This window comes from Homo sapiens, chromosome 4, assembly GCF_000001405.40.
Source record: "Homo sapiens chromosome 4, GRCh38.p14 Primary Assembly".
Taxonomy (NCBI): Eukaryota; Metazoa; Chordata; class Mammalia; order Primates; family Hominidae; genus Homo; species Homo sapiens.
Genome location: NC_000004.12, coordinates 38,070,040 through 38,095,615, shown reverse-complemented (window position 1 = coordinate 38,095,615; position 25,576 = coordinate 38,070,040). Strand labels below are relative to the sequence as shown.

Genomic DNA, 25,576 nt, shown 5'->3' with positions numbered 1-25,576 from the left:
ACAGGAGCTACGTGTTGTTAATAAAATTCCCAATGACTAGCATGGTTACAACTTGATGCAATTTTTTTCATCTAAACTAGGAGAGGCACTCCAAAGATCGTTTTCTTATTTAGAGCCAAACCTCCATTTGGTAGCTTCTACCATGGGTCCCATTTCTGCTTCTTGGAGTTAAACTGAATAAATCTACCCCTTTCAAATGACATCTCTCAAATATATGAAGAGAGCTACTGTTTCCCACCAAACTTACTCAACCTAAAGCTGCATGAAGAATTATAACTAAATTATCAAGCCCAGGGGGGAGTAATATCAATAAAGGGAAATGTTAAATTGACAATTTACATTGATTCCTGGACCCAACCTCTTATTTCATGGCCACAGAAACTGAAGTTCAGGAGGATCAGGTGATTTGGTGCTGGTTATTTACTAGCTAGAGGGAAGCCAAGTGACTCTAAGCCCAGTGCTGCCTTCCTCTCAGCTTTTATGGTTTTCCATCCACCATCTTTAATCTTTTCCCTCGTACTCTGTTGAATACATTTTTAAAAATGTCAACCCTAGATTTTTTAGCTAAGAGGCTGGGAGGCTCAGCAATTAAATGACCCCCACACTTGCAGAGATTTTAGAACTGCAATGAATATTTGATTTTTAAACCATCATGTATTATTTAACCAAGAAAAATGTTTTTTAAAAAAATTTTTAAAAATGTCAACCCTAGATTTTTTTTTTTTTTTTTTTGGCTGTGATTTGGGCTATGAGAAAACACAATAAATGTCACTAGAGTTGAGCTAATCCTTGCAGCAAATCAGGTTTGGGGCTAGCCTTGCTGCACTGCAACTGGCGGCAGCACTGGACTCTGGATGCCAACGTACGTTCCTCTGGCAGTAAGGCTGCTACAAGCACGTCTGGCCACCCTAACAGAGCCCAGCAGGCAACATGAGCATCCTGCTCTGTAGTCGACACAACTTCACACAGCCAGAAAGAACTGGCCAGAAGATTCAGCTGAAAAGGCTCAATCCACAAACATCCTGCTGTTTCCGTATCCTAACAACACTGCTGCCTAAAATCAGTGGCCTCCAAAATGCCTTATCAACCAAGGCAGATGGTGCAGAACTACAACAAACACCCAGGCTCCAGGGCAAGAACTTCAGATACAGGAACCAGCTGTTCGCAATATTAAATAAGACCCCCACACACCCATGCGGTTTGTAAGCTTGTAGAGATAGGGGAAGAGGACTGACTGAGATCAAATGTAAATTTGCAACCAAGTTCTCTAAAATATTTATTATGATTTAACACAAATGTCTGAGCCAACTTGGACTTTGTGATAACGTTCAGGTCTGATTTGTGCCTACTCTGGTGGGTGGGCTATGGCTGCTCCATCCCCAATTCTGCTCTGTTAACAATGGCTTTCCCAGACAAAACTGCCTTGCCAGCTGCCACCATCTCTTGAAAGCTCAGAATGGAAAGCTAATAGGCTGGGAGGCTCAGCAATTAAATGACCCCCACACTTGCAGAGATTTTAGAAGAATTGCACTGAATATTTGATTTTTAAACCATCATGTATTATTTAACTAAGAAAAATGTTTTTTAAATAAAAAACATCAACTGTAATTCAAAATTTAATGTTATCACATCATTTTAATCTTAGTAAAGCATAAAATGCTGAGTTACATGGATTAGCTCAACTGGTAATAACATGTCAACACCAAGCCACGGCTGTATTGAATCACATGTTGTGATCTTACATTAGGCTGCTCACATCTTCATTTAAAAATACAGAAAAATTGGCTGGACACAGTGGCTCATGCCTGTAATCCCAGAACTTTGGGAGGCCAAGGTGGGAGGATTACCTGAGGTCAGGAGTTCGAGACCATTCTGGCCAACATGGTGAAACCCCATCTCTACTACTACTACTACTACTAATAATAAAAATTAGCCGGGTGTGGTGGTGGGTGCCTGTAATCTACTCTGGAGGCTAAGACAGGAGAATCGCTTGAACCCAGGAGGCGGAGGTTGCAGTGAGCCGAGATTGTGCCACTGTACTGTAGCCTAAGCAACAAGAGCAAAACTCTGTCTCAAAAAAAAAAAAAAGGGGGGGGAAAACGGCCTTGCAGAGGAGGACGGTGGAGGACTGGTGTCTTCAAAGAGAGGCAGCGCTTTTTGTTCTAACACCAATGAAAATTAGCTATCTAATTTTGGAGAAATCACAACTTCAGCTTCCAAGTGCCTACAATGGAGTGAGGTAGACTGAGATGACATAGTATGGTTCTTTCCAGAATGCGATGCTTCCAGAATAGTAAAAAATATTTGATTCATCTATTCAAGTCAGGAAACAGGCTTAACCATAAGAACTTCCTCATACACATCCTTCTAAATTCTTTCCCAAAGAGTATGCAAGTCAGCTTGAACCCCTGATCAATTTCAAGAGCCATCTCAGATGCAATTTAACCTTCCTTCAAGAAGGGAGAAAAAAAAGGAACTCAAGATAGAATGCCTATCTCTCTAAGTACATAGTACAGCAGGTCCTCAAATAATGTCTTTATGCTCAATGTCGCTTTCTTATAATGTTGACAAGAAAAAAATGGATTCTTAGCCCGGGGCCATTATCTGTGTGGAGTTTGTGTTCTCTTCATGTCTGTGTGGGTTTTCTCCAAGTGCTCCAGTTTCCTCCCACATCTCAAAGATGTGCACATTAGGTTAATCAGTATGTCTACATGGTCCCAGTCTGAGTGTGTGTGTGAGTCACCCCAAGATGGAATGGCATTCGGTCCAGGGCTGGTTCCTGCCTTGCATCCCAAGCTGTAGGGATAGGTTCTGGCCCCCTGAGACCCTGAAGTGGAATAAGTGGAAAAATAATTACTTCTTTCTTTTTTTTTTTTTTTTTAAGATGGAGTCTCACTGTGTTGCCCAGGCTGGAGTGCAGTGGCACCATCTTGGCTCACTGCAACCTTCGTCTCCTGGGTTCAAGCGATTCTCCTGCCTCACTCTTCCAAGTAGCTGGGATTACAGGTGTGCACAACCACACCTGGCTAATTTTTTTTTGTAATTATAGTAGAGACAGGGTTTCACCACATTGGCCAGGCTGGTCTCGAACCCCTGACCTCAGGTGATCTCCCTGTCTCAGCCTCCCAAAGTGCTGGGATTACAGGAGTGAGCCACTGTGCCAAGCCAATAATTATCATATTTGTATTAATCTTGCTTAAATGTTTGCATATCTCACGTTTACATCAATATTTAATATTAGAAGTGTCTTGGGTCTTTATTTAGAAGTTTGGTGATGTTTTTGTGCCCAGAAATATGCCATAGGAACTTAACTCTTGTTTTTATCAATAAACCCTTAGTAAAATTTGTTTCATTATACATCATTTTGCTTAAATTCGCAGTTTCCATGAACCTATTGGCAACATTAAGTGAATACTTACTGTACACTCTGGCTGATTCTTATCAAATCTTGCATCTATATTTAATGTAAAAGTTCTGCCCTGCCCCAATCCACCCCGACAAAACTTACTAAATATTTTTAAGCAATCAGGCTGTTATTGCTAGTTATTTTTTTATCAGCAATCCAGGTCCTGTACACACTAATACAATGGATTAATACTTCCAACATTATATTAAGCAAGTTTATTGTGTTTTCACCACAAAGATAAACACATGTGGAACTTTACAGAGCTAAGAAGAGAAATGAAGTCAAACAGTAAAAATAAAAGACCACAAAAACTGAACACTGCCAAGAAGCCAGATGAAATGAGGAAGCATTAGAAGAATGTTGGCAAGGGCCAGTAAACTTAATGCAACACCTGGCAAGGGGTTCCAGGTAACCTTAGGAAACTCTTGCCTTTTCATTCTAGTCTGTCTGGTCATTGCTTGCACAGCAGAATGTATTCTGCTTTTGTGGCACACTGGTTTTGCCTCACCAATTATAGCTGTCCTCACCACAAAGAAGCCAGCTGTGAGCACCGTTCCCATTTTATAGCTATGCCCTGATTTTACATGGCTGTCATTTGCAAGAATATTGGCCAGTATTGGCATTAAAGTTTGACCTACATGATGAACATAACTGCCTTTTTCCTCTTCAACAAAAATCCCAAGATACACACGAACATAACTGCTGTGCTCCCGAGCTGTCATTTAACTGATGACACATGCAGTAATGCCATCACTACCAAACATCTTTTAGACATCTGCTTTTAAAATTACCTTCACAAAAACATAAGAAAGTGGCAGAAAAACTGGGTTGGAAGAAAACAGCACTCACCTGCTCTAAACGCCCCCCAGTGTGCTATCATCTTCCACAGCACCCTGATGAGAGGACCCGTCTTTCTCAGCTTCAAAACTGCATGTTGGAAAGCTTACTAGCCTATTCCAACTGTGGGGTTACTTTCATGTCGAAAGGTCTTATTCCTTTATATCTCATTTTCTGTTTTCAGTCAAAAGATATAGACACTATCTCTTTACATTCTATGAATTCGTACTTTTCAACTGCAGAAACTATGTTGCTCGTACACAGTGTTGTCATAACTCACAAGCATTGTAGGGACATGCACAGAGAACGTCTATCCACTCGCTATGACACTAGCTATGCAACTGAAACTCACAGATGCAACACATTCTCAGGAGCTTATTCCTCAGAGTTGGTGTCTTAATGACTTTTTAGCTCTATACAAGCATCAAGGTCATTTTAAAAGATCAAAATTTGCAATCAAGAATGATGCTGAATGAAATGTACTGTAATTCCAAAATTGTTCTGGGGCAATGGCAGGGTGACTGAACCATCTGCTACATCTTCCCTTTGAAAGAGATTATGCAGACTTCCTGCTCAAAATCTTCACTACTTTATCACCGGGCAGTTCTCTAGATACCCTAAGACTCATGCTCTTTCCAAAGAGTATGTAAACTTTGCATCTTAAGCTACTTTGAAGATAACATTAATTGGTTCCAGTGTCAGCATGGAAACAGGAAATGAACAAAATCTAAACTTTCAAAGTTCATGTCATATTTTGACACTATTGATATCAGTACAGGTAGAACTCAGCTAATTCTTTTTTTTCAGATTACTTGCAAATCACTGAAAAAGCACACAGAGTGAAGTTACGTATGTTAATGACTTACACAAGAAAAGTTCATACCTAACACACAGGCACAGACCATGGCTGAGGATAAAGTAGAGAGAGAGAGAGACAGAGGGGAAAACAAAACAAAATGAAAAGCACCTTTCAGCGTGTTAGAGCTTAGATTTAAAGCTTGGATCTCAGAAGTTCTAAACACTGTACTAACAGTGACCATAGAGGAATAATGAATATTGTTGGTGAAACTATCATTAGATCACCAGAAAGTAAACAGTGTTAATATTACTCTGAAAAAGTAAACAGATATAGATAGATGTATACATTAGACTATCGTGCTGCTGTATTTTTAAGACAGCATGCTTATGTCTGATGTGATTAACTTCAGAGCCAAGATAAGACCAGGCCTGTTCAATATCAAGATGGCAAACCAACCTTGGAGCTTCTGATTTTCCTTCTCCATTCTAAGCAGCAGTATCTGTTGAAGAATAGCCTTTTGCCACAGCTCTCGGAGCTCACGAGATGTCCTTTTCTTTTCCTCTGGTGGGGGGCCAAAGGGCCCATCTTCACAAACTGGTTCTAAAGGAGATCGTGGGGGAAGCTCTCCCAGCTCTGAATAATCTGGAAAGGGAGACGGCATTCCAGAATTGTCATTTTTCAACAAAAAATGCACATTCAAACACAGTGTCAAATCAGCAAATTCTGTTCATTCAGATAAAATATAATAATATCACCAAATTTAAAATTCCTGTGTTAATATGCATTGGCATAAGCCACGTCTGAGCCACAAACGTGAAACAAATGATATGTCAAATAGTAAGCAAAACTTCAGTAGCTGAGGAAGAATTTAAAGATACCTGCTTTTTAAGGTGTAATATTTTTATCTCCTTCTGAAAATGTTATTTAATAATTATATTATTGATAATTACAGAAAATGTTCATACAGTGCCTACTGTGTACCAAACTGTTCTCAGAGCTTTATATACAATAATTTACACTCACAAAACTCTAAGACATGGGTATGATAACTATGCAGTTTTAAAGAAATGCAAACTGAGGAACAAGGAGTTTATGTAAGTTGCCTAATGTCACATAGCTAGGAAGGAGTCGAGCCAGGACTGGAACCCAACAGTCTGGCTTTCATGTGCATTCTTAACCACTGTGCTATCTGGCCAGGTATTCTGAAGGAAGATTAAAATGTATTTAATAGCCAGCAGTAACAGTAACCACTAGCAGACCTTCTACCACGTGCTGGGCACTGCGCTGGGCATTTTATATAGGTAGACTCATTTAATCCTGATGACAAGTCCAGAAGGCAGATATTAGCCTGGAAAGGAAACTAAAGTTCAGAAACTTGCCCAAGGTCATACAGTGAGTAAGGAGGTACACCGGCATACTCTAACTCATGTCTTCCTGATTCAGAAGACCATTTGTTCCCACTACATACCACTATAATCCAAATGTTTCCTATATCTAAATTACACAGCTTTATAGAGTCTTATTTCATTATGAGCCTATCAGACAAATGAATAAATTAAAATTCTACATCTTTTGGGGGTTTATATGCATTATAGGAGGATGTTACTGTGTACTGTTCAATAGAAAAGCAAGAATTGAAATTATAAAGTATCATCTCAATTTGATACATATTATGAAAGGCAGTACAGTTGCACTGCACTTAATAGGGCAGGTTCTGGAGACAGGCTGCTGGGATTCTAATCAAAACTCTGTCATTATTGATTTTGTGATCTTTAACAAGTTGCTTAACCTCCTGATGCTTCCACTTCCCGATCTGTCAAGTGGGTATGACAGAGCCTCCCCTCAGAGTGGTGGTAAAGAGACTGAGTTAATAGGCTATAAACCACTGAGAACAGGGCCCAACACAGAGTAAGAACACAATAAAAAAAATAGCTCTTATTGTTTGCTATCATATCTTTACTAGGGGCACAGAAAAGAAATCAAAATTTCAGCTACTCAACTGTAAGCCCTAACCAGGTTAGAACCTTGCTGCCTTGTTGACAAGGGTTTTGGTCACCACACTGAGCACAGCTGCTGACACCCAGCAGGTGCCTGAGAAATAGCTGTTGAACAAAAGAAGGGACAAAATATTGGTTTACATGTACTGTTATTTATGTTTTCCCTGTATTTTCTAAATTTGTGGCAATAAATATTTTAAAAATAAAAACTAAGAAAAAATAATGCAAATCTATTCTAATTAAAATGAAAGATGGAAAAAATATTTTCCTGCAAAACACTTACAAATCCTTTCACCCCCAAACCCTGTATACTTAGGATTAGTCATTACTGAATATGATGCAGTTCAATTGAATCCTTTTATTTAATCTTATTCTGCAGCTTGAAGTCTTTAATTTGAGCCCTTTCCTTTCTTTTTTTTTATTCTTTTACCATCTTGGCTCTTGGAATTCTGTGGAACACTGCAGCTGTGATTAAAGTTCTGCTTTACCTCACATTGGAAGCATATCTCTCACTGGTTTGCAAAAGAGTTTTGCAATTCCTATGATGTGTTCTGGCTGGCATGGCAGGCGCTGTCCTGATAGCGAGGGCAGTGTTTCCATACACTCTCACAATCTCGTGTGCGTCAAGAGAACCCAGGACCCACCCAGGCAACAGAAGGGAGCCCCGCTGAGGGTTAGGTGGGGTTGACCTGGATATTCTTTTTTTTTTTTTTCTTTTTTTTTTTTTTTTTGAGACGGAATCTCATTCTGTTGCCCAGGTGGGAGTGTGGTGGCGCAATCTTGGCTCACTGCAACCTCTACCTCCCAAGTTCAAGCGATTCTCCTGCCTCAGACTCCCGAGTGAGTAGTTGGAATTACAGGCATGCGCCACCATGCCCTGCTAATTTCTGTATTTTCAGTTGAGACGGGGTTTCACCATGTTGGCCAGACTGGTCTCGAACTCCTGACCTCAGGTGATCTGCCCACCTCGGCCTCCCAAAGTGCTAGAATTACAGGTGTGAGCCACCATGTCCAGCTGACTTGGATATTCTTAAACCCTACTAGTAAAACAAGGGCTCACCTCACCTAAACTCCTTCTTCTAATCTCATCCTTCCTGTTTACCACAGCCTTCCTCTTCCCAGGGTCTTGAAAATTCCTACTGTGTTCCTTTCAAATTCGGAATCACAATGAGCAGGTGTAACTCAGGCCAGGAGGATGGAACATTCCTAACAGTAGAGGCTGTTTGTCCCCAGATCCATGTACTCTCTGCCACTTGGGCTACTGACAAGGACCACTGTCTATAGAAGTTTATGAAACTCCGGTTTTATTTTAGTATTCAGAGAAACTGGATCTGCAAAAATACAAGTATTGTTTGGGGACGACAACTGTGAGATTTAAGACCTAAGCTGTCTCCCTAATGTTTTCTACTTTTGTGATCTTTTTCTTATTATCACTAGTGACAGTTTGTTGAGCTTTTACCATATGGGTTCTTGGCATAAATAAGCTTGTTTGATTCTTACAACAATCTCATAGGACAGGTGATATTATGATCTCCATTTTCCAGCTAAAACAAATAAGGTGCAGTGAGGTTTTATAACTTGGCCAAGGTCACACAGCTAGTAAGGGTCAGAGCCATAATAAGAAAAAAGGTGTATTTTCCTCCAAAGTAAAAAAAAGAAGAGTTTACCCCGTGCTTCTCTAACTTCTACATGCACAAGCCTCACTGGGGATCTTGCTAAATTAAAGATTTTGATTCAGCAAGTCTGAGGGGAGCATTTCCATCAAGCTCCCCAGTAATGCCTCCACTGCTGTTTCTCCAAGCACACTCTGAATAGCAGGGCTCCACGCTGCAGCTTTACTCTCTATTTCCTCATGCAACCCTATGCGCTTGCTAGCACGTCGGCTCATCTCCTTCACTCCCACCACTGAAAACACAGTTCAAATACTGTTGTTAGCTGCCTGAATTCAGGTCCTCAACACATGGCAGGAGCTTGTCCCAAATTTGGTCGGGGGATCCAGGCCAAGTCCAGAATACAAAGACATATTTGAGCACTAGTATTAATTTCACCTCTACATGAACTAAATAAAAGCTGATCCACTGTAAAGGTCAGCAAATAAACCCAAGAGTTTAAAGGAGGGTTTCTCAACCTCAGCACTACTGACATTTTGGGGCTGGATGATTCTTTGTCAGGAGGAACAGTTTTATACACTGTAGAATGTTTAGCAGAGGGCATAGTAGCATCTGCCCACCATCAATGCCTCTAGGCATTGCTAAATATCCCCTAGGGGTCAGGAGGAACAAAACCACCTCTAATAAGAACCTCTGATTCAGAGCTAAAATCTCACCATTTCGTCTCTCCTAAACCCTGGGAAGGGGCAAAAACGTATCTCTTTTATCCAAATTCATTTCACGTGGTAACAATTACTGATTTTTTTATAGTTTACGATTAACAACAAATTTGTATAATATTTTTTGTTCATATTAAGAGTAGCCTGGCTACAAAATAGCTCAGTAATTTATAAAGGGAGATAGTTAAAAATCTTTGTTCTAAATTTGGCCTGCTGAATCAGTCCAAAGAAAGTAAGCTGCTTTCTCAACAATGCAAAAAGATCCAGACTGGGCACAAGGCTTTGGTTTGTAATCAGTCCTCCTTCAGGCGTGTGCAGTCTTGAGAGATGTGGACTCGAGTGGAGTGGCAGGTCAAGGAGAACAAAATCAAAGTCTGAGGCAACTGTCAGCTAAGAACCTTGTTCTAATGATAAACCGGGGCACTGTTTTCACTTGCATCATTCCTAAGCCAATCCTACCAGCATTGAGTCCCTTACATGTATGCAGCGATGCAATGCGTTAGGTGGTCTAAGGAGGGCTACTCTGAGGTTTCTACTCTCTAGAACAATCCCAGGGATCCGGCTTCTCTCCCCGACTTGCATTCTTGCTGAGAGACAGCTGCACAGAGGCCAGTGTAGGAAGCTTGGCTTGGCTCAGTGCAGCGGAGGCTGAGCCGAAGGAGGGGCTGCTCTACCTCATGGGCCAACTGTGTTGGTGCCTCTTGGGAAAACATATGCCTTCTGGGTTCCAGTCCCCCAGTGTAAAATGTGAGAAATGATATTCACCGCCGACTGCCCAACTGTAGAGACCACAGGCACTGACAGGCATATTTATAAAGTCGGCAAAGCCACCAAACCAAAGGGCTGCGATAACAACTTAGTCCAGGATTAGATTTTACTATTCTGACATCTCCTATAATGACGGATGTGGAGCACTTAAATTATGTAGCCTTTCAGAAACAATAGCCTCCAATGGGTTCTAAGAATTTTAAAACCAGTCATAATTCAGGAGGCCTTGGAGACAACTGCCTCCTATTAAATCATTGCTGTGACACTCCCAACAGAGTCATAAATATGATCTATGCTGGTATGTCGATATTTTAGATGCCAAATTATTCCCCAACAACTCTGTGCTGTTGCATTCTTTCTATCTGCACACAAATGTGTGGGGAAGAGGATGACATTGCATCATTGTTATGAACAGAATCAATGCCATGATCGAGAAAGACAAAAAGCAACGTGCACACCACCTCCTATCTGCCCAGTATCTGGCTCTCTCAAGTGCAGAATACAGGGCTTCTTTCTTGCACTTTCACAAAGCACTGACATTAAGTTCTGAACTGCAGTTCTCCTCCTTTTAAAGACACGACATTAAATCACATGTTAAGTGCCCTGTAAGAAAGAGGAGCTCTAGAAGGAAACGAGTAGACAGATCCTTATTCTCCAATTTTCTGGCTTTTTCTGTGTGTTACCCACCATAGAGCATTTTATAACTCTCTTCATCCCTCTTGAAAATTCTGAACTCCATGCGAAAAAAAAAAAAGAAGTTAAAAAAATTCCAGTTATTCTCAAACCTCTGTTTGAACAACATAAATCGATTCTGGAAAGGAGAAAATTGAACATTAAATCTCTGGAGAAAAGTTAACAACAACGGGATTAACATCTGCAGCGTCTGTTGTTACGAACAGCTCAAAATTTCTTAGAAAAAAACAAAGTAAAATGACCATGTAGACTTAATGTTGTCATATTGTTTACAAAGTATGAGCAGCTTTACCTCTACTACAACAGAAAGCAGAGCCCAGGAGGCAGAGATTTCTGTGTTCCCTGCCATATCCCATGCCTGGGAAACAGCAGATATGCATGGAATATTCAATGAATGAACAGATTCATTTGCCCAAGTCCACTCTCAACCCTGCCATGACTTCTGTGGATCTTTTATGGAAAATACTCCAAAGAGAACCTGATTATTTCCTACAGTTGCATTATATGACAGTCTAGCTAGAGGAAAACAGAATTTTTTAAAGACAACATTCATGGCCGGGCATGGTGGCTCACACCTGTAATCCCAGCACTTTGGGAGGCCGAGGCGGGCAGATCATGAGGTCAGGAGATCGAGACCATCCTGGCTAACACGGTGAAACCCCGTCTCTACTAATACAAAAAATTAGCCGGGCGCCATGGCAGGCGCCTATAGTCCCAGCTACTTGGGAGGCTGAGGCAGGAGAATGGCATGAACCCGGGAGGCGGAGCTTGCAGTGAGCCAAGATAGTGCCACTGCACTCTAGCCTGGGCGACAGAGCGAGACTCTGTCTCAAGAAAAAAAAAAAAAAAAAAGACAACATTCATTTGGTATAAAGAAATACTGTTAAGTTGTTGCCTCATGCCAGGCATGCTGCTAGAAATCCAAGTATGAATCAGGGTAGCAGAGAAGTACAAGACTACCAAAATAAGGGAAATACAAAGAAAGTGTTCTGGAAGTTCAGCAAAAAAAGATGAATTTCAGCCGTTTATAAGGTCAAGAGCATGGGCCCTGGAGCCAGGTATCTGGGATTGAACCTGGCTCTACCATGATCTAGCTACTCAACCTCAAACAGGTTATCTGATCACTTGCCACCTTAGTTTCCTAATCTGCGAAATCTGCATAAAACTGACTAGTTCATAGGATTATTGTGAGCATTAAGTAGGTAAATGTGTGGAAAAAAACAAGCCTGCACACAGTAAACATTTAATAAAATGTCAACTACCATTCTTCTTACCATCATTGTTGTCAGTTTTTGTGGAAAGTGGGGTGGTTCTGGAAGAACAGGTAAAATCCATACAGGTTTAATTGATGGGAGCCACTTTAGGTAAAGAACCAGCATAAACAAGATGTGCAGGTAATTATTAACTCATCACTGATAATGACCCATTTTGTCTAACGACCAGATAGTATGCGCCTGAATATAGAAGACAAGGCTGGCTGACTCTTGGTTGCTTAAGGTCTAGTCAATCCACATATTAATTGGTTAGAAATTGGGAATTCCAGAAGATTGGGGGTTTTTTAAGCAAAAGTGATCTCATATATACATTCTTTAGCACTTTAACCATATCCTGGCAGGCAGGGAGTGCACAGCCTAGTGGATCAGACACACATGAAAGGCCACTACCAAACAGTGAGAAGAAGGGCTCGAAAAAGAGCTATGGACACAGAACAGAGCACCTAACTCTGCCTGAGATGGGAGCCATACGGAGGGGAAGGGTGTGATGAGGAAAGAGGTGCACACACACTTAAAAACAGAAGCCAAGATAAGCAGAAACAAGGACCAGGAGCAAGAGGCCTGCAGATCTTTATCCCCACTCCCTCCCAAAATAGCCATTTAGGGTAAACTTCCAAGGCTGTGTAAGGATGACTTAGAGATGAGGAAGAAAAAAGTCCTGACTCAGTCTGGTTAGAGGTCATGACAACAGCTCAGAGGAGCACTGAAGACCACACGGCAGTGGGAAGTCCAGGGAAGAGAACCAGGAAGAGGCACAGAGAACAGGCCTGGGTGGGCGAGCCCAGGGCACAGAGCACCAAGAGCTCTGCGCAGCCCCAGTGATGGGCGGCTGGTGGCTCTAAATGGGAGGTCTACAGGAGCTGGAGAAGGATCAAGAAAAAGCTGTAGACAGGAGATAACGCATGGGAGAAAATTATGCTTGGAAAGAAGTGGCGTTTGTTTTTGCATCTGCAAGGGGAAGGAAGCTGTATTTTTTGAGGAGCTGAAAGTCAGGGCTCTCAGTTCTTGATTAAAGACAACAAAACTAAAGAGAAACAAATATTCCGCCTCAGCCAGAATCTTAAGTGCTGATCTTTGTAACAGTTTGCCCTATCCTATTACCATTTCTGTAACACTGATTTTCAACTGTGGTTCTTGTAATTTTATGAGACATGGTGGGGTGGAAAAGCCCACCATGGCCCCTGGTCAGTGCCACCAGGATGAGCACCTGAGGGCTGTGTCTGGGAAGCTGGGCCTTGCCTCCCCAGGGACTTCCCACCAGCAGCCACGTCACAGTGGCGACCTTCGCCACCCCGCCCTTATTTTCCTTCTTTCTTCAGTATTGTGGGGAAACTGTCAGTGCTCACAGGAACATGGAGCTGAAAGGGACACTGGAAAATGACTTAGCTCAACTCCCCCTCTCTTCCCAGATGTGGAAACTGAAGCTTAAAGAGGTCCGACGTCACATTTTCTGGGCACTTACTATGTGCTGGGCAGTGTGCTTTACAAGTACCCCACTGATTTCATCTTCACCACCAACGGATAAGCTAGGAATTGGTTTTATCCCTCCACGGCAAGACATGGGACACAGAGCTAATTAGGTGGTGAATCCAGGACTAGAACTTGGCTGGCTCATCCTAATGCCTTGGGGTAATGGACACAAAAGCAAAGAGGAAAAGGAGCAGGCAACTGATGATGCCAGCCCTGGTACTAACTACCAGGAAATGGGCAAGCTCCTCGACCACCCCTCTGTGTCAGTTTCCTCATTCATAAATCACCGATAATAATAGCATCCACCCCCCACAGCTTTGTTGTGGGGATTAAATGAAAAATCCTTGAGAGCACTTAAAAACAGTACTTAGACAAGAGTAAGTGCTGAATTCCTATTAATATCATGATCTATTTTGTTCTAAAAAAGATAATCTATTTGGCAAAATCTTTCTGTTGCTTAGACTTCTTCGCAATCAGACTGGGGTTGGGGATAAAAAAGAAAGTTGATTTACTGAAGAATACTGGAGAAGAGAAACCTGTTCTATGAAGAAAATGCCAACATTTTCCCAGGGGCTCCTCGCAACAATAGGAGGCCCGGGGTCACCGTCTTGCTGTGTCCAGGGCCCATGGTCACGTAGAAATAGGGTGGGAGAGGGGTGGGGTTTTGGCCTTTCTTTGTCTGGCTGACTCTCCTCTGTCAATGCTCAGTTCCAAGGTCATGCCCTCGGAGACGGCTTCCTCCTGCTGCACCTGCCCCGAGGGACCCCAGACGCCTCCTCTGTGGCCTATAGCACCATGGCGCCCTGAGCACAGAAAACAAACACAAGAGAAGCTCCGAGAAGCAGGAGGCCAGGGAGCCTGGAGCGTCTCAGGGAAGACTGGGCAGAAAGGAGAGAAGTCAAAGAGGTCTGGGACAGCCTATGAGGGGCCAGCAACGAACACGCAGAGTGGAAGGAAACAAGCAGGCCCCGGGAGCCACGCAACTCTCGACCCAAGGGATTGGGACTCAGCTCCTTTAAAGAGTTTATTCTTAAATTATGCAAAACTATCATAAAACTTCACATATACTTCATATATAGATATCTGACACTTTCATATAACTTTCTACATATAAAACCTTATAAGAAACATATCATAAGGTGTTTATCCCTCCCCTACCTTCCTGTGACCAATCATGCATTCAATTCATCGCAGAACAGTGATGAAAGAAAACCAAGCTCCACCCCTAAGGAGACAGCTGAGCAGGCCAACTTCCAGGTCTGTGTGCCAAGGGGTCAAGGGCAGCCCATAAGGTGGCGAGAGTGCAGAGGGCGGCTGTGCAGGTCCAACCTCAGAAGAGATGATCCCAAGTGAGACGTTCGTCGGGGTGAGGAGGGGTGGGAGTGGGGAAAGGGGAAAGGTCCAGTGCTGAGTTCTGACACACGACTGGGAAGGAGATGCGGGGCAGTCCCACCTTGGCAAGTGTGGGAATTAAAAGAAAGCAGCATGATGAATTTGATGACTGCAAGTAGTTCCCCACGGGGCCCAGCGAAGGGACAGGGAGTGCCTGCAGATGCTAAGAGGTGGGTCAGGTCAGGTGGTCAGAAGGAAAAGGGCCTCCTGTGCTGGGCAAGGCCACCATCCTGACCACACTCTGAAGAAGAGGTGAAAAACAGCAGAGAGTGCATGGGCAGTAACCACATGGAGTTACCCTGACTGCTGCCCACACTTAACCCTGTGATCTCATCCACGTGGATTTTTTTTAAAAGATGTCAGACCACCCAACATTGGTCGTTTACATTGTTCACTCTGTGATTACAGCTGCTGGTCAAACCTACTCAGCTTGGACCTCACTGTGGGCACAGAGGTCAGGACATCTGACCACTCCCTCCAGCAGCACAGGGGTCACAGCTGACAGAACCTAGACCATGAGTTCAGTCTACGGGAGAAGTTCTCAAAATGTGGTCCCCACACGAGCTTCAGCCTCAACACCACCTGGGAGCTTGTTAGAAATGCAAATTCTTGGTCCCACCCCAAACCTACTGGATCAAAAACTCTGGGGTAGATCCAGCAACCTGGATTTGAACAATTGGGAAATTCTAATGCACACAAAAGGTTGAATCTCTGGCCTTTGGCGTTCAGCACTTTTTTAGCCACTTACTTTACATTACAGTTACCTTAATTGGATATTTCACGTTATGTGACACTAGGGAACAAAGGTACCTTTTAAATACATTGTTTTAAATTAATTAAGCAATGACTCTACCCATTATGGATGGATGACCTGACCATTAAATAGAGTTTTAAAATGTAATATAACTTGCTTTTTTTTTTTGAGATGGAGTCTCGCTCTTGTTGCCCAGGCTGGACTGCAATGGCACAATCTTGGCTCATTGCAACCTCCGCCTTCCAGGGTTCAAGTGATTCCCTTGCCTCAGCCTCCCAAGTAGCTGCAATTATGGGTGCACACCACCACACCTGGCTAATTTTTTTGTATTTTAAGTAGAGATGAGGTTTCACCACGTTGACCAAGTCAGGTGTCGAACTCCTGATCTCAGGTGATCTGCCCGCCTCGGCCTCCCAACGTGCTGGGATACAGGCATGAGCCACCACACCTGGCCATATCACCATGTTTTTCAAACACCAGTCAAGTCGCACTTTCATCTTTGTCAAAGGCAAAGTTCAAAGCCAAAGACTGAACTAAATACCATTTTCTTAAGAATGTATTAAGGGGCCGCTCCCTGCTAATCCAGATCAACAACCTACACTATTACAGCAATAACAAATTTCCTTCCAGAAAACTTCCAGATCTGAACATAGTCAGAGACAGACTGATGACTCACCTAACATAAACAGAAAAATATACTACTAAAAGCTAAGATCACGATTTCTCAACCCACATCATTTAGGCATCTACAGAAAAGCAGCTCATTACAACCCAGCTTTCAACCCCTCCACCGTGGGAGCCTCCCCTCCAGCCCTGGCCTCCTCAGCCCAGGGTACTCCGGGCTGTCACACCCTGCTGAGAAAGGTGGGCTCAGTATCTCAGGGCCTTTCTGCTTCTGTTTCTACTGAGACATGGTGAAAAGAAAAGCAAGCCAACTTCCTCACCCTCAAATCTCCCCTAACAAAGTGTTATGAGGGTCAAAACTAGACCTGGAAAGAGAAAAGTGGCTATGTTACAGAGAAACAGCTATTAAACTATACCCCGTGAAGCTCTGGTTGCAAAGTCCATGCAGGAAGCCAGGGAGTGGAGAATGGAGCTCGGGCTGCTCTAATAAAATCATAGGGACTGGGTGGCTTAAACAACACACATTTGTTTCTCACAGTTCTGGAGGGGAAGTCCAAGATCAGGGTGGCAGTACAAGTGTATTCTAGTGAGAGCCCTCTCTCTTCCTGACTTGCAGAGAGCTTCCTTCTTGCTGTATCCTCACAGGGTGAAGAGAGAGGAAGCTCTGGGGTCTCTACCTCTTTTTGGGATGACAGTAATCCCATTCATGAGGGCTTCACTCACACAATCTCATCTAAACTTAATCACCTCCCAAGGGCCTCCCTTCAAACACCATAACACTGTGCATTAGGGCTTCAACATAGGAATTTTGGGGGGACACAAATGTTCAGTCCATAGCAGGAGCAAATCTGATTCCAAGCTACCCCATCCCTAAAACAAAGCAGGTTTGATTTAACGTTTTACAGAGCCTCTGACAACTTCCCTTTTAAAAAAGTTCAATCTGTACCTAAGAAAAAAGGAATATGTTTAAAGCCCAGGAAACAAGGCTTTATTACGATGGAAAGGCATGGGATGGCCTTGAGCTGAGCCTCAATGGATTGGCACAATTCAGAATTTTTTTGAAGCGGGAGGGAAGGCCTGGGGGTGCCAGAAAGGGATTTGTTTGAGCAAAGTCACCAAGTACTCTGGCTCAGAGCTGTCCTTTCTTTTGAATTCACAGCACTTGCTTTCTATGTCATTAACGTGGCCACCGACCTGTGCTGCTGTGCGGCACCTTTCATCTTTGCTGTTCTTTAACTTTAAGCCAGGTCCTGGGATCGGACTTGAAAGTGGACTCTAGCGTCTGGTCTGCTTTCATCCCGCTTCCTCACCCAGACTTCTTCCTTGTCAACACAGGACAACCTGACCTACCCCATCGCAGGAAGCAGATTTAGAATACTACTTCCAACCCACCCCAGTTCCACTGCACCAACCCAGGGTGACGCATAACATGTGCTTCCGAGTCCCTGGATTATCATGGAGTGCAATGCCAGCACTTGACATAAAAGCCCAACATCTAATTAAAATCGCTTGAACATCCAGAAGACAAGGGAGAGGGGAAAAAAGGATGACGACGGCTCCCCAGACTCAAGACTTGAGAAATTACAGGCTTTTAATGTAAAATCAGACAAAATTCATTGAAGGCAAAAAAAAAAAAAAAAAATTAAGGTTTTGTGAAAGAACCAAAAGTCAAGGTATAATTTCTGCCATATGACATTTATAATATAGATGGGCAGATTTCATATATTTAATTTGTACTTAAACAATATTTATTAAGCTTGGGATAGAAAAGGATCATTTTATCCTGATAAGAGTTTCAACCCCAAAATTATTAAGGTTTATGCCACAAAATAGCATTTGCATCAATAAAAGATAACAAAAACCCTTTAGGAATTTTAAAAGACTCTTCTCCTCAATAGCTGCAGCTTTCCAATTCAGAACCTTGAACTTAGTAGACGCAGCATTTCCCCATCCTTTCTTCTCTCTTGGCAGCTGTCTTCCTTACAAGACTTGTACGCTCCTTTGTCTAGCATTTGATCCACTTTCAACCCAATACCTAGAACAATGCTTTTACATACAACTGCACACTCAGTATAGTTGTATGTTAAATAGCATGCAATACATCTATCTCATGTCAGAGGCAGGGATATCTTACCTGCAAATTTTAGATCCTCATTAAGAGCTATCATCCTCTGATGATGTGATGACAAAGGCTATTACAGAAAGAACCATCCTAAGAGGTAGAAGGAACAGCTATTACAGCCACTGAGGTCTGAAAAACGGAGCCTAAATCTGAGTGGCAGCCAGGAAACAGGAAGGTATGAGCTCCACTGTGGAAGGAGAGAGAACTCAGATACAGGAGCCTGGAATCTGGAGTTACTGGTAAAATAATACAACAGTGGCACAAATGGCAATTTCAAGAAAAGGAGCCCAATTTTTCCCTCTCGGGCCCAGGAGATGGTTTTTAGGTATGTTGGCTGGCTGGGGTTTTTTTTCCTCCTGAAAAAAATATTTTGGTTGGTGGCAGAGAAACTGTAAACACTAATATATCTATCTATATATTTATCTAAGGAAAAAAAAAGTTACCTATAATCCTACCTCCCTAAGATAAGCATTCTTGATATTTTCATATCTTCTCTCTGGTCTATTTTTGGATTTTCACTCTATGAATAAATGTAACTTCCATTCTATATTCTAGGTTTTCATCAGCAGTGTGTCGTGTGTACCTCCAAGGTCTGGAACCACCCTTAAGACATCAATGGGATGCAGATGCTGAAGTGCCTAAGCATGCCCAAGTAGGAATAGGGCTCAGAAGACGGGTGCGGGAGGATCATGACCCCAGTCTCACATAAAGGGATCAGGGCCAGACATGCGCACTTGGGATTTAATGTGGTTTGGCTATGTCACCACCAATTCTCATCTTGAATTGTAGTTCTCATAATCCCCATGTCATGGGAGGGACCAGGCAGAGATAATTTAATCATGGGGGCAGTTTCCCCCATCCTGTTCTCATGATAGTGAGTTAGTTCTCATGAGATCTGATGGTTTTATAAAGGGCTTTCCCCCCTTTTGCTCGGCACTTCTCTCTCCTGCTGCCATGTGAAGGACATGTTTGCTTCCCCTTCCACCACGATTGTAAGTTTCCTGAGGTCTCCCCAGCCATGCTGAACTGTGAGTCAACCTCTTTCCTTTATAAATTACCCAGTCTCAGGTATGTTTTTATTAGCAGTGTGAGAACGGACTAATACAGGACTTATCTCCAGAGAAGTCCCATTGGAAACTATTCAACCAGAAATAATCAACAAGCAAGGTGCCATCACAGCTCTGTAATTTACAGAGAAGAGCTGGTTAGACATTTAGTAGAATGAAACATGTGACCAAGGGAAAAAAAACAAAAAGAGAAAGGAGGAGGAAAGGTCCCAGAGGCATGTACAGGTGACTGTCAAAGGCATCAAGAAAACCGTGATGGGGGTTCTGCTTGCACAGCTGTCCTGAAGTGAGACTCTGTGACCTGGCCGATGACAAGAGATAAACTACTATAGGCTCCAGTTATAAACTTTGCTGTCCTCCACCCTCCCTCCTCTCATGCATCTGTGACTAAAATATCTAACCCCACCCATCCCATTACACAATGCTTATCTGGACGTGATCTGAGTTCAGAATCCATTAAAGGAAGCCCATGACTTAAAAATTAGGAAATACTTTTGTGCTTTGCGGAGGAGAGGGGATGGGGAAGTCCTCAAGATGAAACAAAAAGTTTAAAATAGTGAACCAATTCTTCTCCCAACCCAACACAATGTTCGCTGAGTTATATGTGGAAATGTGACCTTTCCACCTGGAAAACCCCAGCCTCACTGCTTTCCTTTGAAGGGCCCATATCCTGAAAGAAATCAACTTGGGAAGTAGCATACTTTTTAGGTATCCATGACTCTTAGGCAAGTGGGGAACTCGGGTTTGTGTTAAGTTTCAGGCTTCAATGTTCTCATGTAGTAGAAAATGAAAACAGACGACATGATCATCAAGATCTCTTGAAAGTCAGTACACTGACATAAATTTACAATCCCAATAGATTTCAAACACTTTAATCCATTTTATGACTTAAAGTGGACAAGTTCAAATGCTCCTTGAAAACTGTTTTTGTGGTAAGCAAATTTCTTAAACATTACCACAATTTACTTGGACTAAAAACATCATTAAAGAGGTAATATTTCCTTTCAAAAGTCTCTACTGACTGTGGCCAGGCGCGGTGGCTCACGCCTGTAATCCCAGCACTTTGGGAGACCAAGGCAGGCGGATGACGAGGTCAGGAGTTCAAGACTAGTCTGGACAACATGGCAAAACCCTGTCTCTACTAAAAATACAAAAATTAGCCAAGTATGGTGGCGCGTGCCTGCAATCCCAGCTACTCGGGAGGCTGAGGCAGGAGAATCATTTGAACCCGGAGGCAGAGGTTGCAGCGAGCCAAGATTGGGCCACTGCACTCCAGCCTGGGTGACAGAGCAAGAATTTGTCTCAAAAAAAAAAAAAAAGAGAGAGAGACTAAGAAAGTCTCTACTGACCATAACTGAATATGGCAAATCCCAGCACACACAGCTTCCATGTGGCATCATTAAGAATCAAGAGTTGTTACATGGGACCAAATATTCAACCCCAAGACAGAAACAGGGGAGGCAGGAGAAGTCGGCTGCTTTGATTAAATGAAGTAATTCAGTAAAAAATTTGCATATTTACCACTCTGAAGGAGAGATACTTTTCTAAACATCCAGGCCCAACATAGAAAATCGAGTGCTGCACACTCAGCTTAAAAGTTGTGCCTTAAATTCTGAGGGCCAGCACAGGGGAAATCGATCCTTCCAAGCCTGGTCATTGTGTGCTCAGATGGCCACGTTTCACCTCACTGCACTCGTCGCTTTCTGGGACATCGTGAAAACTGCATGTTGTTTAACCTTGTGTTGGGATGATTGTAAAGAGTGAAGCATCTATGACTAACTTCTTTACAATGATTCCCAGTCTTTGGTCTCTCCCCATCATGAGTTTTGAAAAGAACCTTCCCCTAAAGCCCCCAATGCCTGCTTTTCAGTATGGTTGGTTAGAGGTTTTTGCTGTCCCTCAATTCAGAGCCAGAGCTGCCCAGTGAGGTGTGCACCTGGGATGGGGCAGGAGCATCAAGCTGCTATCTCAGGAACCAGGTTTCCTCTGGCAGTGACTTCAGGATTTTACATGTACTTTGCCAAAAAGCTGAAGCAATTGTGCAAACTACCAGCAGCACACTATCCAAGAGGTTGAGAGAGATCCTTGGCAATGTGACCATCCTCCCTCTGCCACAGTCTCTGGTCATCCAAGAACATCCTTTTGGTTGTCTTAAAAGTCCACTGACATTAAAAATGAAGGCAGCCAAGGTGGATTTCAAGAATGGCTGCCATTCATGGAGGAGGCTCTTTTTACTTCCTTCAGCCCTTCTTCCTTCCTTCAGACCCCTATTAGGAATGGACCGGCTGCCTTCTCCTTACGTAACAAGCTCCTGTGGAGTGAGTGCTTCCTCACTGACTGCCCCAACACTCTTAACTACAAGGTGGGGCTATCATTATGCCGGCATTACACCGAAGAAACCAAGGCACAAATGGGACACACAGCTGCTTTTGGTCAAAAATGGAAGGGCCATGATTTAAGTTCAGGCCAGTCTGATTTAATAATCCATACTCAACAGTAGAAAATCAAATAACTCAATTAAAAAATGGGCAAAGGACTTGAGACTTGAAAAGACATTTCCCCAAATATGAAACATAAATGGCCGACCAGGACATGAAATGATGCCCAACCACATTAACTATGAAGGAAATCAAAACCACAATGAGATATTACCTCACGCTCACTAGGATGGCCATTATTTTATAATAAAAACTTACATATTTACCACTCCAAAGGAGGGATACTGTTCTAAACATCCAGGCCCAACACAGAAAATCAAGTGTAATCCAGAAGATTGATCCAGAAAATCTGCAATCCAGAAGATTACAAGTGTGGGTGAGGGTGTAGAGGAACTGGAGCCCTTGGGCACTGTTGGTGGGAATGTAAAATGGTACAGCAGCTGCAGAAAACAGTATGAGGGTTACTCACAGAACTACACTATGATCGATCCAGCAAACCCACTTCTGGGTACATATCCGAAAGAACTGAAAGCAGGATCTTGAAGAGACATTTGCACACCCATGTTCATAGCTGCAGTCTTCACAATAGCCAAAAGGTGGAAGGTGGAAGCAGATGAATGTCAACAGATGAATGAAGAAAATGTTAAATATACATACAACAGAATATAACTCAAAAAAAAGGCGGAAAAAAAAGAGAGAAATCCTGTCATATGCTACAACGTGAATGAACCTTGAGGACATTATGCTAAGCGAAATAAACCAGAAATAAGAAGACAAATACCATATGACTCTACTTAAATGAGTTATCTACAGTAGTCAAACTCAGAGAAACAGAAAGTAGAATGGTGGTTGCCAGGGGCTGGGAGAGGGGGAATAGGAGTTGTTTATTGGGCATAGAGTTTCAGTTTAACAAGATGAAAAATTCTGCAGATCCATTGCACAACAATGTGAATATACTTAACACTACTGAACTTTATACTTAAATATGGTTTAGATGGTAGTATTATGTTTATGTTTTTTACCACAATAAAAAATTTTTTTTAAATCTATACTCTTAACTGTGACACTACACTGACTCTCCAGCCAATCAGGCCTTTCTGAAATTTACATGACCCTTTTTCCTCTCAAATGGCTAAAAAGCCATTCACAGAAATATACATTATGATGGGAGTTATTAACCAGCACTGAGTTTCATTTTATTTTGCCTCATGACATACCAAGAAAACAAAAGGCCACAGGCCAAAATGAGGCAACAGAGAAAAGCTCACGGGGTCCACATTTAAAACTCTGGCCTCTCAGAAAATGTGGGTGGGCAGGAAAGTCATGATGTAAACGAAGCTCTGCGATTCCAAGGATATCCTCCCAAAGGTCACACCAATTCAAAACATGAAATCAGAACATTCCCAAACCCTGCCTCTCTGTCATACAGACGTGTGTCTCTCTCTCTCTCTAGGTGTACATAGTTTTCTGAGGGCTTGCACTTGTGCCTAATTTAGGCCCCAGCTCTCATTCATTATGCAATACTGCCTCTGATGAAACAAGACAGTTACTGCTAGCCCTATCTCACAAAGGAAGGAACAGGGGTGGGTAGCAGGCCCAAAGTCCCAGGGGAGGGAGACTGCTGTGGCACCAGCAGCCCAGACCCGCCCAACCCCAGGGCTCCTAACCAGGCTGCTCTGCAGTCGGCCAACACCAGGTGCTGACCCTAGACACTATTCCTAAATACAGTGCAAATCATGGCTCCTGGGGGTATGGTCTTTGAGCCTCAGTCTTCTCATCTGTAAAACGGAGCATTGGATTAAGAATCCCTTTTCTAACATAAAAGGCTCCAAATAATCTATCAATAATACCAAGTAGAATTTATTGAGCTCCACAGACTCAGGGTATTATGAGAGATTTAAGCAAACAGAAGAACTTTTCACCCTGCCATCTGAGAACCTACAGTGTGCCAAGGACTACAGAGACAGAACCACACCACTTCAGGAAGAGTAAAGCAGCAACGGCATGAGGCAGGAACCATTTCTGCCCTACAGTGGGTAACACAATGACAGATCACAATCAAAGTAGCTGTGGCAGTGGGCTGGAGTTTACATAAATATGGGGTGACCTAAGGCTAACTTACCTATTACAACTTCAAAAAACAGGTTTTAATTGTATAGGATGAGTAATGGGAGAAGATAACTTTGATGTCTTTTAAACCATCAAATATCGAAAAAGAGATATAAAAATGATGGGCTTTTAAATTTTTTATTAAATCCATTCCCAAACTATTCCTGAAACTATAAATATAACAAACTGAAATTTTACTTCTGCTAGATCTAGAGAAATGTAGACTCTCAACAAGCATTAGGCAACACAGTGCTTTTGGACACTTGGGGGCTCTTTCCCAGGGGTGGGTGGGGAGCAGGCAGGAAGTGACCATGGATGGCAAGGCTTCAGAGGCACCTGCAGCTGCAGCTGCCACAGTAAGAGCAGGGACAGGAGGGCCAAGAACAAAAGAAACCCTTCAGACAATGACCACTGTATCTGTACCTTTGGGGGCTTGATTTCTGCAAATCAAGGGTTCCATGTTCTCAGCTCAAATCACTGGTCATGCCAAGTTGAATAACTCCATAGAAGAAAAGGGGAAAAATCCCCAAACAATCATTTGCAGTTCCAGCCCACAAGAGAGAAGCAATTTTAAAACTGAGTCCATTTCCAACAAATCTGAATACTGGTTAGCATCATGATTCACAATGGAAGTATGTCTCCATCTTAAACTTCTATGAGAAGATGAGGTTTTCTAGAAAGACTAAATGTACTTCAAATGTTTCTCCCTTAATTAGAAATTAGTTTTTTCTACCAAAAAAGTCACTACAATACAAAATTGAAACAAAAGGCAAAAATATCACCTATCACCACATCTTCTTGCCACTTCTGTAGAATATCAATGCTCTCTTTGTATTCTTTCTCCATGTGTATGTTTTTTTTACATACTATAATCTCAGTAGATACAATAATTTTTATAGAAAAAATGCCCACATTTGGTAAATATTCCAAAATCATATACCCCTTTATACAAAAGAAACCAAGCACCATCTATGACCCAAACTCTGCACCAGGCCACTGTCCTCACCAAGCTTAAACTAGGATTTAGATATGAATCCCAAGTGTTTTCCATGGCTTGGCAAGATGTGGGCGATGCAGGAGCGTGTGAGGCCTCCCCATGGCCGGGTCATGCCGAAGGTCCACGTGGGAACCTGGCAACAGCTCTTCAGTCTCTCCTCTTCCAGCGACACCTGGACCATCTTTGGTTGTGTAGTCAGCCACATGACAACTATTTTGCTTTAAGAATCCCAAATTCTTATTACAGGATAAATATATTAATCAAATGTTGATCCTAGCAGAGGGATCTTTGACAGAAAGTTAGCCAGCTATCTGAGCACTTTAGTAATAAGAAATTCATGCCACTCACTCATGTACAATTTCACCTACTTTTAGATAACCACTAACTGTTACAAAGCTAGGGATTCTCATTACTTTCATTGTCCTGATTCTGCCTTCGGTTGACAAGCAATATAATTACCAAGAACACACCAACTTATGGTGGCTGGAGGCTATGCCCTC

The 25,576-nt window shown here is 42.6% G+C and overlaps 1 protein-coding gene across 27 annotated transcripts in view, besides 4 other annotated features; it reads right to left on the bottom strand.

The window, feature by feature from the left end:
* Positions 1-25,576, bottom strand: part of TBC1D1 (TBC1 domain family member 1) — a 248,090-nt gene that overhangs the window by 43,558 nt on the left and 178,956 nt on the right. For 26 of the 27 annotated variants that reach the window (XM_011513659.3, XM_011513660.4, XM_011513662.4 and 23 more), the window contains one exon: positions 5,499-5,684. In XM_011513659.3, coding sequence (XP_011511961.1) covers positions 5,499-5,684 — 186 coding nt within the window. Of the gene's footprint in view, positions 1-5,498; positions 5,685-16,759; positions 19,846-25,576 lie in introns of those variants that run through there. The other variant, XM_011513670.4, reaches the window with a different exon arrangement.
* Positions 2,256-2,425: an enhancer, noted in NCBI's record as "experimental_79381 CRE fragment used in MPRA reporter constructs". NCBI's record gives its function as "activates a minimal promoter by MPRAs in K562 erythroleukemia cells, with activity observed for both the introgressed and non-introgressed 4:38094897 variant alleles {active_cell/tissue: K562}" and the evidence as "EXISTENCE:reporter gene assay evidence [ECO:0000049][PMID:34662402]".
* Positions 16,454-16,563: an enhancer, noted in NCBI's record as "active region_21424". NCBI's record gives its function as "activates an Ori minimal core promoter by ATAC-STARR-seq in GM12878 lymphoblastoid cells {active_cell/tissue: GM12878}" and the evidence as "EXISTENCE:reporter gene assay evidence [ECO:0000049][PMID:35858748]".
* Positions 16,664-16,833: an enhancer, noted in NCBI's record as "active region_21423". NCBI's record gives its function as "activates an Ori minimal core promoter by ATAC-STARR-seq in GM12878 lymphoblastoid cells {active_cell/tissue: GM12878}" and the evidence as "EXISTENCE:reporter gene assay evidence [ECO:0000049][PMID:35858748]".
* Positions 19,279-19,488: an enhancer, noted in NCBI's record as "active region_21422". NCBI's record gives its function as "activates an Ori minimal core promoter by ATAC-STARR-seq in GM12878 lymphoblastoid cells {active_cell/tissue: GM12878}" and the evidence as "EXISTENCE:reporter gene assay evidence [ECO:0000049][PMID:35858748]".